Raw genomic sequence first — 15,504 nt, forward strand, 5'->3', positions numbered from 1 at the left:
ACACAATAATAGTGCAGTACTTCAGTACTCCACTGACAGCACTAGACAGGTCATTCAGACAGAAAGTCAACAAAGAAACAATGGACTTAAACTATACCCTAGAACAAATGGACTTAACAGATATTTACAGAACATTCTACCCAACAACTGCAGAATATACATTCTATTCATGAGCACATGGAACATTAACCAGGATAGACCATATGATAGGCCACAAAACAAGTCTCAATAAATTTTTAAAAGTCAAAATTATATCAAGTACTCTCTCAGACCACAGTGGAATAAAATTCACACAGTGGAATAAACTCCAAAAGGAACCCTCAAAACTATGCAAATACATAGAAATTAAATAATCTGCCCCTGAATGATAGTTGGGTCAACAATGAAATCAAGATGGAAATTTAAAAATTCTTTGAACTGAGTGGTAATAGTGGCACAACCTATCAAAACCTCTGGGATACAGCAAAAGCAGTGCTAAGAGGAGAGTTCATAGCATTAATGCCTACATCAAAAAGTCTGAAAGAGCACAAATAGACAATCTAAGGTCACACCTCAAGGAACCAGAGAAACAAGAGCAAACCCAAACCCAGCAGAAAAAAAGAAAGAACAAAGATCAGAGCAGAACTAAATGAAATTGAAACAAACAAAAAATACAAAAGATAAATGAACCAAAATGTGGTTCTTTGAAAAGATTAACAAAATTGACAGAACATTAATGATATTAACCAAGAAAAGAAGAGAGAAGATCCAAATAAACTCAATTAGAAACAAATGGGAAATATTACAACCAATACAACAGAAATACAAAAGGTCATTCAAGACTACTATCATCACCTTTATGCACACAAACTAGAAAACCTAGAGAAGATGGATAAATTCCTGGAAATATACAACCCTCCTGGATTAAACCAGGAAGAAATAGAAACTCTGAACCAACCAATAACAAGCAGTGAGATTAAAATGGTAATTTAAAAAATTGCCAACAACAAAAAAAGTCCAGGACCAGATGGATTCACAGCTGAATTCTATCAGACATTCAAAAAAGAATTGGTACCAATCCTATTGAAACTATTCCAGAAGATAGAGAAAGAGGGAATCCTCCCCCCAAATCATTCTGTGAAGCCAGTATCACCCTAATATCAAAACCAAGAAGGGACATAACAAAAAAGAAGACTACAGACTGATATCCCTGGTGAACGTACGTGCAAATATCCTCAACAAAATACTAGCTAACCAAATCTAACAGCATATCAAGAAGATAATCTACCACAATCAAGTGGGTTTCATACCAGGGATGCAGGGATGGTTTAACATACACAAGTCAATAAATGTGATACATCACGAAACAAAATTTAAAATCGTATGATCATCTCAATAGATGCAGAAAAAGCATTTGATAAAATTCATCATCTCTTTATGATTAAAACCCTCGGCAAAATCAGCATAGAAGGAAAACAACTAAGGGTAATAAAAGCCATCTATGACAGATGTACAGACAACATTTTACGGAATGGGGGAAAGCTGAAAACATTCCTTCTGAGAATTAGAAAAAAACAAAGATGCCCACTTTCACCACTTCTAGTCAACATAGTACTGGAAGTCCTAGCCAGAGCAACCAGACAAGAGAAATAAATAAAGGGCATATGAATCAGTAAAGAGGAAATCCAACTGTCACTATTTGCCAATGATAAGATTGTATGCCTAGAATACCCTAAAGACACATCCAAAAAGCACATGGATCTGAAAAGTGAATTTAGTAAAGTTTCAGGATACAAAATCAATGTACACAAATCAATAGCACTGCTATATACCAATAGTGACCAAGCTGAGAATCAAATTAAGAACTCAACCCCTTTTACAACAGCTGTAAAAAAAATAAAATAAAATACTTAGAAATTTACCTAACTAAGGAGGTGAACGATCTCTACAAGGAAAACTACAAAACACTGCTGAAATAAATAATGGACAACACAAACAAATGGAAATACATGCCATGCTCATGGATGGGTAGACTCAATATTGTGAAAATGACCATGCTATCAAAAGCAATCTACAAATTCAATGGAATTTCCATCAAAATACCATCATTATTCTTCACAAAACTAGAAAAAACAATCCTAAAATTCATTCACACAGTACCAAAAAAGCCCACATTGTCAAAGCAAGACTAAGCAAAAAGAAAAAATCTGGAGGCATCACGTTACTTGACTTCAAACTACACTACAAGGCTATCGTTACCAAAACTTCATGGTACTGACATAAAGATAGGCACATAGACCACTGGAACAAAACAGAGAGCCCAGAAATAAAGCCAAATACTTGCAGCCAACTCATCAACAAAGCGAACAATAATATAAAGTGGGGAAAGGACACCCTATTCAATAAATGATCCTGGCATAATTGGCAAGCCACATGTAGAAAAATGAAACTGGATCATCATTTCTACCCTTGTACAAAAATCAACTCAGGATGAATCAAAGACTTAAATCTAAGACCTGAAACCATAGAAATTCTGAAGATAACATTGGAAAAACCTTTCTAGACATTGGCTTAAACATAGACTTTATGACCAAGAACCCAAAAGCAAATGCAGCAAAAACAAAGATAAATAGATGGGACTTAATTAAACTAAAAACTTCCTCACAGCAAAATAAATAATCAGTAAACAGACAACCCACAGAGTGGGAGAAAATTTTCACAAACTATGCATCTGACAAGGACTAATATCTAGAATCTATAGGAACTCAAATCAGCCAGAAAAAAAATCAAATAATCCCATCAAAAAGTGAGTTAAAGACATGAATAGACAATTCTCAAAGGAAGATATACAAATGGCCAACAAACACGTAAAAATGCTTATCACTAATTATCAGGGAAATGCAAATCAAAATCACAATGCAATACCATCTTTCTCCTGCAAGAATGGCCGTAATTTAAAAATCAAAAATAATACATGTTAGCATGGATATAGTGAAAAGAGAACCCTTTTACACTGCTGGTAGGAATGTAAACTACTACAACTACTATGGAAAACAGTATGAAGATTCCTTAAAGAACCAAAAGTAGATCTACCATTCGATCCAGCAATCCCACCACTGGGTATCTACCCAGAGGAAAAGAAGTCATTATATGAAAAAGACACTTGCACATGCATGTTTATAGCAGCACAATTCACAATTGCAATAATATGGAACCAACCCAAATGGCCATCAATCAACGAGTGGATAAAGAAAATGTGGTATATCATGGAATACTACTGAGCCATAAAAAGTAATGAAATGATGGCATTTGCAGCAACCTGGATGGAGTTGGAGACCATTATTCTAAGTGAAGTAACTCAGGAATGGAAAACCAAACATTGTAAGTTCTCACTTATAAGTGGGAGCTAAGTTATGAGGCTGCAAAGGCATAAGAATGATACAGTGGACTTTAGGGACTCAAGGGAAAGGGTGGGAGGTAGGTGAGGGATAAAAGATGACACATTGGGTACAGTGCACACTGCTTGGTTATGGGTGCACTAAAATCTCAGGAATCACCACTACTTATCCATGTAAATAAACACCACTTGTTACCTAAAAACCTATTAAAACGAAAAAAAAATTTTAAATTTTAAACACTAAAACAACTCAAATTTTTATTAAGTAAATGGATAAACAAATTCTGGCAAATCCAAACAATGGTGCTCTGCTCCGCAATAAAAAAGAATATACTATTGATAACTACTACAACATGGATGAATCCAAAATAATTGTAGTGAGTAAAAATAATCAGGAAAAAAAAGGACACATTACTGTATGATTCCATTTCTATAGAATTCCAGGAAATGAAAAGCAATGCATAGTGACAGAAAGCAGATTAGTAATTGCCTGGGAATGGGAAGGGACACATATGGTGAGGGCTGGAAGAGAGGGTTACAAAAGGGCACAAAGAAACTCTTGGGCATGACAGAAGTGTTTATTATGTTAATTGCAAAGATGGTTTTATGGATGTATACGTATGTCAAAATGTATTCAAATAGTACATTTTATAAACATTAATTAAACCTTAACAAGGCTATTTTTTAAAAGAAGAACTAACGCAAAGAAGAGCAGGGAACAGCACATTCCAAGCAGAGTGAACAGCTTATAAGAAGGTTCTAGGCCAGGTGCGGTGGCTCACGCCTGCAATCCCAACACTTTGGGAGGCCAAGGTGGGTGGATCACCTGAGGTCAGGAGTTCAAGACAAGCCTGGCCAATATGGCGAAACCCTGTCTCTACTAAAAATACAAAAAATTAGCCGGGTGTATTGGTGGGTGCCTGTAATCCCAGCTACTTGGGAGACTGAGGCGGGAGAATCACTTGAACCCGGGAGGCGGAGGTTGCCGTGAGCCAAGATGGTGCCATTGCACTCCAGCTTGGGCAACAAGAGCAAAACTCTGCCTCAATAAGTAAATAAATAAATAAAATAGAAGGTTCTAGGATGGTAAAGGACTTAACTATATCATCTAGAAACAGAAAGAATGCAAGGAAGCTGACATAGTCATGCGGAAGAGAAAAAGTGAGTGAAGATTTTGTTGTAGAGATGAGTAAGGACAAGATCATAAAAGCTTCTGAAGTAATTACAAGAAATTATATTTTAATTTAAGCAGGGGAATGATATGCTTTGATTTATGCTATAAATATCCACACTGCTGTGTGAAGAAAATATTGTGGAGCCAAAAAGGAAAGCAAGCTGGTGTACCCATTAGAAGGCGAGTATTGCACTCCAGCAGGAAATGAAGTGGCTTGACTAGGGTGATAGCAACGCTGTTGGAGAAAAAAGGATAGATTCGGAAATCATTAGCATTTACAGAGCTACTGATTATCATTCAATGTGAGAGATAAGAGAGTGGAATCAAAGATTATTCCCAGATTTTGGCTTGAGCCACTTATTGTCATGATATTTTTTACAAAGGTGAAGAAGCTTGAGATAGGAGGGGGCATGTGGTGGTAGGAAATAAAGAGTTCAGTTTTAGACACGTTAAATGTTATTATGTCTGTTGTATAAATGGAGATGTCAAGTGGACAAGTAAGTCTGAATATCAGATGAGAGGTCTAGGGCAATAATTTGAGTCTTTAGCATATAGGTGGTATATAATGGCATGGGAATAAATGAAATTACCTAGAAGAAGGGTGGGGGAAGGAGGAAGCATAGAAGGAAGAAGACAAGAGAGAAAAAGAGAAAGCAAGAGAGAGAGATAAGGGAGTAGGGAAGAAAAGGAGATTTGTGAATAGAGATATCAGGAATTTCAACATTTAATTTCAGGAAGAAGAGGAGTTGCCAGGGAGAAGAGAAAAAGGAAAAGACCTTCACAGAAGAAAAAACAAAACAAAACAAAACAAAAAACCTGGGGAATGTTTCAAGAAGTGGTAAACTCCATCAGATGCTACAGATAAGCTAAGTAGGATAGGTTCAGAAAAGTGATTAGAGTGTGTCTGGCTCTGTGAAAGTTGTTAGTGACCCTTTAAAAAGCGATTTTAGAAAAGCAATGAAATAGAAGCCAAAATATTGTTAAACTGAAGAGTGGCAGGTGAGGAAACAGCACAACTGAATACCTCTTTAAAGATATTTGGTTATGAAGGGGTGCTGAAAAATAGATTAATACCTGGATTGGAGTAAGATGTTAAAAGGAGTAGTTTGGGGTTTTTTTAATTTTAGAGAAAAGAGCATATTTTTAATTTATGTGAATACAGAATGATCCATAGAAAAAGAGATTGAGGATAAGGGAGAGAGGGGATAACTAAAGGAAAAAAATTCTTAAGGAAGTGAGAAGGAATGGGAATCAAAGCACAGGTACAAGGACTGACATTTAATAGGAGGCTTTGTCTATTAGTATAGACAGACTTTTTTTAAAAGAAATGAGAGAACTACAGAATGAAGAGATACATTGAAAAGTACATTGTTTCATTGAGAGATGAAACAAGTGATTGTTATATCTGATTTTCAGTTCAGTATTTTAGTAGTTTTTCCTCTTAAAATCAGTTTTACAGTGTAAATTTCTTACTACAAAGCTTTATGTTGAAAATCAACTACTTTGAATTGTAATTAGTAGGAAAAAATATGTTTCTATCTTTGAATTTACAAAAATCAACAAAAACATACAAAATACGGGAGATATTACCTAGCAGTATGTGTGAATTTTCTTGACGTTAGTTAATAGTAATCTCATCGTGAGTCAGACAAATAAAACAGTCTCTCAACTAGGAATAACATTGTACCCCAGGGATATTTGGCAATGTCTGTGAACTTTTTGATTGTCACAACTGAAGAGTAGGGATAGTCTACTGACACCTACATCTACAATGTATTTCTACAACAAAATATTATCTAGCCAAAATGTGAAATCAAATTGAAAACATTTAGAACACAATTGTAAATAATAATTTAGTAAGCAAAAATTTTAAAGTGTAGACTATATGGATGGAAATATTTGTATATTGGGTATAAGTCTCCTAGAGAATACTGATATTTTATTTGATGTTTACAAGTTATTACTTAAAGTACTATCTTATTATATTACCAAGTAAGCTACATCACAGGTGTATATTTTTAAGTTATAAAAGTTGGTGTGATTCACAGTAGCCAGGAAATCATATTTCTGATACTCAATTGTTTATTTACCATAAAAGTTCTGTATCTGTTCCAACCAGAATTTATTACATACTTTCTGATGAATCACTGTAAAAACCTTCAAGTTTAGTAGCCAATTTGCTTTACTCTATTCACATGTCAGACACAGCTTTATCCACATAAAATCTTGGGGAAATTTCATCATTTAGTGCTCATTAGAGTATTAGCAAAAGCATGATGTTTGACTTGTACCCTGAGTACTTTAGTAGAATACCTACTAATGTCAGTAATGGATTAACCAACTTAACTGGTTTCCATTCCACTGATTCCTCCTGTCTTCAATCCAGCTTTCACAGTATTTCCAATATTTCAAATATAAGTGAAAGAGGGGCTTTCCATTTCCAGATAGGATGTTAAAAGATGTAAAAGACCTTAATCCCCATGGTAGGAACAATGATGAAAACAACAAAATCCTATAGTAATGACAATAAAATTAAAATTATCCTTTTCTATGGGGCTATGGAAGAGTGATACATTCAAAGAAGTCTAATTAACTGAATGCCAGACAGAGAAGAGCCATTCACAGGTGAGCAGAAAGCTACTGCTGCTTCCATACCTGGGGCTAGTGACTGACCTGGGTATAGGTGGGGGAAAGAGTGGGCTTTTGATAGATAGACAGACTGAAAGGAATAGAAAATAGCCAGTGAGGTTTAATGGCTGTTTGGACTGACCTATAGATTGGAATTTGAAAGAATTTGAAACAACCCTAAATAGAAAAATAAATCATTCAAGTTGGCAATTGTCTGCCACTAAACCCTCACCAATCTCAGAATTTTTCTGCAAAAGTAGCAATGCAGGTGGACTGGAAGGCAGAGAAATTTATGCAGTCTTAATGTGCTGTATTCTGGGGTAATTATAGAATTTAACCAAAAGTTGAATTAAGATGAATTAAAACTATCTGAAACAGCATCCCAACTGTGTCACTGCACAAATACCAATACAAATAACAATCAGTCCCTTGGCAAAGGGGGTATAAAAGATTGAGTGTTGGATTGAGAAATAAAGAGAGATTTTCATAGTCCAATTTGAAACAACAGTGGAACTTAATCTTATTAAAGCTACAGCCCAGCCCCAGCTTAAATACTTAGCAGAATCTGAATGATTCTACATTATATGTGTGTGTGTGTGTGTGTGTGTGTGTGTGTGTGTGTGATATTCCTGATATTAGTGATAATATACATATATGAATGATTCTTTAGTTTTTACTACTGTTGTACACAGATCATACCATCAGAAATTAGAAAACATGCAAAGAAGCAGAAAATTGTGACTCATAATTGAGTGGGGGGACAAAAGTCAGTCGAAGCAGATCCATAGAGACCCAAATTGAAATTAGAAGCCAAGAACTTTAAAAGAACTATTATAAGAATATATAGGAAAAGAGGCTGGGCATGGTGGCTCACGCCTATAATCCTAGCACTTTGGGAGGCAGAGGTGGGCAGATCACCTGAGGTCAGGAGGTCCAGACTAGCCTGGACAACATGGTGAAACCCTGCCTCTACTAAAAATACAAAAATTAGCTGGGTGTGGTGGCTCATGCCTGTAGTCTCAGCTACTTGGGAGGCTGAAGCATGAGAATTGCTTGAACCCAGAAGGTGGAAGTTGCAGTGAGCCAAAATCGCGCCACTGCACTACAGCCTGCGCGACAGAGTGAGACTCTGCTCCCAACCGCCAAAAGAATATATAGGAAAAGATGGTTTGGCTGAGTAAATATGTTGGGGAATTTTAGAAGAGAAAGTGAAACGCTGAAAAAGAACCAAATGGAAATTATAGAACTTAAAAATAAAATATGTGAAATTAAAAGTTCATGGTTGTTTCTTAGCTGTTAATGAATAATGCTGCATTGAACATGAGAATGCTAATATTTCTTTGAGAATCCTGTTTTCAATTATTTTGGATAAATACCCAGAAGTAGGATTGCTGGATCATATAGTGGTTCTATTTTTTATTTTTTGATGAACCTCATTGCTGTTTTCCATCTCAGCTGTACCATTTTACATGCCCACCAATAGTGCACAATGATTCCAATTTCTCCACATCCTCATCAACACTTGTTATTTTCTGTTTTTGTTTGTTTGTTTTGTTTTTTATAATGGCCATCCTAACAGGTATGAGGTGATATCTCATGGTAGTTTCAATCTGCATTTCCCTGATAATTAGTGATGTTGATTAGTGATGTTATTTTCATATAACTGTTGGCTATTTGTATTATCTTACACAATACGTGACAATAAATTCAAAATGCATTTAAAAATTAAACATAAGACCTAAAACTGTAAAACTTCCAGAAGAAAATATAGGTGAAAACCTTCATAACATTGGTCTTAGCAAAGAATTCTTGAATGTGACATCAAAGGCACAGGTAATAAAGGCAAAAATACGTAAGTGATACCGCATCAAACTAAAAGCTTCTACACAACCTAAATATCTGCAGACAGATGAATGAATAAAGAAAATGTGGTAGATACATACAATGGAATATTAGCCTTAAAGAAAAAGAAAATCTTGTCATATGCTACAACATGATGAGCCTTCAGGACATTACACTAGATGAAATAAGCCAGTCATAGAAGGACAAATATTATATGATTCCACTTATATGGTGTATATCTAAAATAGTCAAACTCACAGAAGCAGAAAGTAGAATAATGATTGCCAGGATCTGTGGAGAGGGAAAAATGGAGAGCTACTGTTCAGTGGATACACAGTTTGAGTTATACAAGATGAACAAGTTCTAAATATCTGCTGTGCAACAGTGTGAATATGGTAAACAGTACTGTAATGTACACTGAAAAATTTGTTTAGAAGGTAGATTTCATGTTGTGTGTTTTTTACCATTGAATATATGTGTTGATTATATATGTAGAGTTAAGTGTCTTTGGGGTTCTTCTCCTAATTATAAGAACCTTTGTGAAGTCAGTGTAGGGTAACAATCACCAACACAACAGCATATTTTCAATTGTATTTGCTCTCCTAGCAGATCTTGTAAAAATCAACATGGAAGGATAATATATAATCCTATATTCATCTCTGACCTCTGAATTGAGGTATTAAGTAGACAAAAAATCAAAAGCAAGTTTCATGAAATCATCTATCATCGTCATTTTTTGAAAACAGTATTACTATCTTTTCCCACTAGCAACATGAAAAGCAAATGAGGAAGATATTTTATAGAAATAATTAAGCTGGTGATGTTTTTCCTCCTTGAGGAGTTTCATATTCATAGAAACCTTGAGGATAAAGGTTTCATATTCTAAAACTGTTTTTTCAGAGACAGTAACATTTAAACATCTTTATGGAAGTGTCAAGGCACCCTTTATACTTACTACCAAGGAACCTAAATTGGACTTTTTGAATAAAAAGGCATTCCTTTCAAAAACAAAAGTTCACATGATTGCTTTAACAATATATTGCACAGCACTAGGAACTATCAGTTAACTTGAATACACGTCACTAGAAATGATCCAAACAGAAGCACAGAGTTAAAAAATAATAATAATAATTAAGCTAAATGAACATCAGTGACTTTGGCTGAAATTTTTTCCAAATTTGATGAAAAACATCAACTTAAAGATCCAGGAAGCTCAAAACACCCTAAACTAGAAAAATACAAAAAGGCCAGGCATGGTGGTTCATGCCTGTAATCCCAGCACTTTGGGAAGCTGAGGCAGGTGGATCATTTGAACTCAGGAGTTCAAGACCAGCCGGACCAACATGGCAAAACCCTGTCTCTACCAAAAACTACAAAAAGTTAGCTGGGCATGCAGCTGTGGTCCCAGCTACTTGCAAGGCTGAGGTTGGAGGATTGCTTGAGCTGGGAGGCAGAGGTTGCAGTGAGCCATGATTGCACCACTGCACTCCAGCCTGGGCAACAGAGACCTGATCTCAAAAAAAAAAAAAAAAAAAATACAAAGAAAACGACACTTAAGACTTTATAGTCAAACTACTAAAACCAACCTACAAGAGAAAATCTTAAAAGCAGTACAGAAACATACACACACATACAAATACAAGGGAAAAATATGAATAATGAGTGATTTTTTCCATCAGAAATAATTGAAGCTAGAGACAACATAATGACGTCTTTTAAGTGCTAGAGAAAAACAACTGTCAATCCAGAATTCTATATCTAGCAAAAATATCATTCAAAAATGAAAGTGCATGAATTAACAGATCTGTACTATAAGAAATAGTAAAGAAAATTTTTAAAGCAGATAAAAAAACGATGGAAAATTAGGAATACAGGTAAGAATGAAAAGCACTGGAAATAATAAATATGTGGGTAAATATAAAAAGGTATTTTGTCTTTCCGTAAACTCTGTGTTACTCTTTCAGAAGTAACAATGTATTATGGGATTTATAACATGTAGAAGTAAAATGTATGATAACAGTAACACAAAGTATTGAAGAGAAGTATACAGAATTATACTGTTGTTTTTTTCAACATAGGAGAAGTGATGTAAGAATAATTAAAGATGCACTGTAATGAATCTAACAAATAGATGCACATTATAATCCCTAGAACAACCATTAAAGAAAATAAAACAGAGAGGTGTAGCTAAGAAGCCAAAGAGATGATAAAATGGAATACTAAGTATATTTTATTTTCTCAAAAGACAGAAAAGAGTAACAGTAAACAAACAAAAAAAAGAACTGAGGGGACAAACTGAAAACAATTAGAAAGATGATAGACATAAACTTAACCCCATCAAAGATTATATTAAATAGAGTACACATTCCAAAAAAAGAAAAAGAGCTTCTGAGACAGGATTAAAAAGAAACAAATATCAAAAACAGTGTATATGCTATTTATAAAAGATGCACGTTAATTATAAAAACATAAATAGGTTGATTACTGTAGCCTTGTAGCATAGTTCGAAGTCAGGTAGCGTGATGCCTCCAGCTTTGTTCTTTCGGCTTAGGATTGATTTGGCAATGCGGGATCTTTTTTGATTCCATATGAACTTTAAAGTAGTTTTTTCCAATTCTGTGAAAAAAGTCATTGGTAGCCTGATGGGGATGGCATTGAATCTATAAATTACCTTGGGCAGTATGGCCATTTTCACGATATTGATTCTTCCTACCCATGAGCATGGAATGTTCTTCCATTTGTTTGTATCCTCCTTTATTTCGTTGAGCAGTGGTTTGTAGTTCTCCTTAAAGAGGTCCTTCACATCCCTTGTAAGTTGGATTCCTAGGTATTTTATTGTCTTTGAAGCAATTGTGAATGGGAGTTCACTCGATTTGGCTCTCTGTTTGTCTGTTATTGGTGTATAAGAATGCTTGTGATTTTTGCACGTTGATTTTGTATCCTGAGACTTTGCTGAAGTTGGTTATCAGCTTAAGGAGATTTTGGGCTGAGATGATGGGGTTCTCTAGCTATACAATCATGTCGTCTGCAAACAGGGGCAATTTGACTTCCTCTTTTCCTAATTGAATGCCCTTTATTTCCTTCTCCTGCCTAATTGCCCTGGCCAGAACTTCCAACACTATGTTGAATAGGAGTGGTGAGAGAGGGCATCCCTGTCTTGTGCCGGTTTTCACAGGGAATGCTTCCAGTTTTTGCCCATTCAGGATGATATTGGCTGTGGGTTTGTCATAGATAGCTCTTATTATTTTGAGATATGTCCCATCAATACCTAATTTATTGAGAGTTTTTAGCATGAAGCGTTGTTGAATTTTGTCAAAGGCCTTTTCTGCATCTATTGAGATAATCATGTGGTTTTTGTCATTGGTTCTGTTTATATGCTGGATTACAATTATTGATTTGCGTATGTTGAACCAGCCTTGCATCCCAGGGATGAAGCCCACTTGACTATGGTGGATAAGCGTTTTGATGTACTGCTGGATTCGGTTTGCCAGTATTTTACTGAGGATTTTTACATTGATCTTCATCAGGGATATTGGTCTAAAATTCTCTTTTTTTGTTGTGTCTCTGCCCGGCTTTGGTATCAGGATGATGCTGGCCGCATAAAATGAGTTAGGGAGGATTCCCTCTTTTTCTATTGATTGGAATAGTTTCAGAAGGAATGATACCAGCTCCTCCTTGTACCTCTGGTAGAATTCGGCTGTGAATACATCTGGTCCTGGACTTTTTTTTGGTTGGTAATTAATTATTGCCTCAATTTCAGAGCCTGTTATTGGTCTATTCAGAGATTCAACTTCTTCCTGGTTTAGTCTTAGGAGGGTGTATGTGTTGAGGAATTTATCTATTTCTTCTAGATTTTCTAGTTTATTTGCATAGAGGTGTTTATAGTATTCTCTGATGGTAGTTTGTATTTCTGTGGGATTGGTGGTGATATCCCCTTTATCATTTTTTATTGTGTCTATTTGATTCTTTTCTCTTTTCTTCTTTATTAGTCTTGCTAGCGGTCTATCAATATTGTTGATCTTTTCCAAAAACCAGCTCTTGGATTCACTGATTTTTTGAAGGGTTTTTTATGTCTCTATCTCTTTCAGTTCTGCTCTGATCTTAGTTATTTCTTGCCTTCTGCTAGCTTTTGAATGTGTTTGCTCTTGCTTCTCTTGTTCTTTTAATTGTGATGTTAGGGTATCAATTTTAGATCTTTCCACAGCATGGTACTGGTACCAGAGATATAGACCAATGGAACAGAACAGAACCCTCAAAAATAATGCCACCTGTCTACAACTATCTGATGTTTGACAAACCTGACAAAAATAAGAAATGGGGAAAGGATTCCCTATTTAATAAAGGGTGCTGGGAAAACTGGCTAGCCATCTGTAGAAAGCTGAAACTGGATCCCTTCCTTACACCTTATACAAAAATTAATTCAAGATGGATTAAAGACTTAAACATTAGACCTAAAACCATAAAAACCCTAGAAGAAAACCTAGGCAATACCATTCAGGATATAGGCATGGGCAAGGACTTCATGTGTAAAACACCAAAAGCAATGGCAACAAAAGCCAAAATTGATAAATGGGATCTAATTAAGCTAAAGAGCTTCTGCACAGCAAAAGAAACTACCATCAGAGTGAACAGGCAACCTACAAAATGGGAGAAAATTTTTGCAATCTACTCATCTGACAAAGGGCTAATATCCAGAATCTACAATGAACTCAAACAAATTTACAAGAAAAAAACAACCCCATCAACAAGTGGGCAAAGGATATGAACAGACACTTCTCAAAAGAAGACATTTACACAGCCAAAAGACACATGAAAAAATGCTCATCATCACTGGCCATCAGAGAAATGCAAATCAAAACCACAATGAGATACCATCTCACACCAGTTAGAATGGCAATCATTAAAAAGTCAGGAAACAACAGGTGCTGGAGAGGATGTGGAGAAATAGGAATACTTTTACAGTGTTGGTGGGACTGTAAACTAGTTCAACCACTGTGGAAGTCAGTGTGGTGATTCCTCAGGGATCTAGAACTAGAAATACCATTTGACCCAGCCATCCCATTACTGGGTATATACCCAAAGGATTATAAATCATGCTGCTATAAAGACACATGCACACGTATGTTTACTGCAGCACTATTCACAATAGCAAAGACTTGGAACCAACCCAAATGTCCATCAATAATAGACTGGATTAAGAAAATGTGGCACATATACACCATGGAATACTATGCAGCCATAAAAATGGATGAGTTCATGTCCTTTGTAGGGACATGGATGAAGCTGGAAACCATCATTCTCAGCAAACTATCGCAAGGACAAAAAACCAAACACTACATATTCTCACTCATAGGTGGGAATTGAAAAATGAGAACACATGGACACAGGAAGGGGAACATCACACCCCGGGGCCTGTTGTGGGGTGGGGGGAGTGGGGAGGGATAGCATTAGGAGATATACCTAATGTTAAATGATGAGTTAATGGGTGCAGCACACAAACATGGCACATGTATACATATGTAACAAACCTGCACATTGTGCACATGTACCCTAAAACTTAAAGTATATAAAAAAAAAATACGTTGAAAGTAAAAGAAGGGGAAAAGAATTCCATGAAAACACTATCCCCAAAAAAGCTGATATGGCTATATTAATATTAGATGAAGTAGACTTCAAGGCAAGGAGATAAACAGTTCAAATTAATAAAATAAATGACCAGAATGATATAAAAATCCTACATACTTGCATAAACCTAATAAGAACTATTCAAAATATATGAAGCAAAAACTGTCAAAACTAGAAATAGACAATTCTACCATCATTGCTGGAAATTCATCATTTCTCTTTTGTAACTGACAGAACAAATAGACAAAAATTGGTAAGATTATAAAAAACTAAAGCAACTCTCTTGGCCAGATTGATCTAATAACATACACACCTACACAATGCAATTGAAAATACAAATTATTTTCATGTAAACACGTAACATTCACAAGGATAGACTGGGCGATAAAACAAGTTATAATAAATTACAAATAATTGAAATTAAATAGAATGTGTTCTCTGGCCACAAAAGGAATTAAATTAGGAATCAACAGTATGTATAAAATTCCCTAATACTTGAAAATTAAGCAACTCATCTCTAAATAACTCATAGCTTAAAAAAGAAATTACAAAGGAAATTTTAAAATATTTTTGAACTGAGTGAAAGTACAAACACAACATATCAAAATTTATGAGATATTACTGAAGGAGTGCTTAGAGGAAAATTTAGAACATTAGATGTTATGTTAGATTTTTTTTTAAATCTCTACTTCATGATCTAAAGCTCTTGATTAAGACATTAAAAAGTAAGAGCAATGTAAACCACCCAATGTAAAGGAAATAATAATCATCAAAAATGAACGAAATAGAGGTCAAACCAGAGTAGATCAACAAAACCCCAAAACAGTTCTTCAAAAATACTATATAAAACCCTAACAAT

General features: G+C 35.2%; 1 protein-coding gene across 13 annotated transcripts in view; it reads left to right on the forward strand.

Moving 5' to 3' along the window:
* The window catches only part of STXBP5L (syntaxin binding protein 5L), a 516,557-nt gene that overhangs the window by 381,235 nt on the left and 119,818 nt on the right, over positions 1-15,504 (forward strand). For 2 of the 13 annotated variants that reach the window (XR_924217.3, XR_001740373.2), the window contains one exon: positions 5,285-5,388. The exons of the other annotated variants lie outside the window; for them this stretch is intronic. The gene's annotated coding sequence lies outside the window, so the exon portion shown is untranslated. The remainder of the gene's footprint in view (positions 1-5,284; positions 5,389-15,504) is intronic. 13 annotated transcript variants of the gene reach the window in all.

This window comes from Homo sapiens, chromosome 3 (assembly GCF_000001405.40).
Source record: "Homo sapiens chromosome 3, GRCh38.p14 Primary Assembly".
NCBI classification, from domain to species: Eukaryota; Metazoa; Chordata; class Mammalia; order Primates; family Hominidae; genus Homo; species Homo sapiens.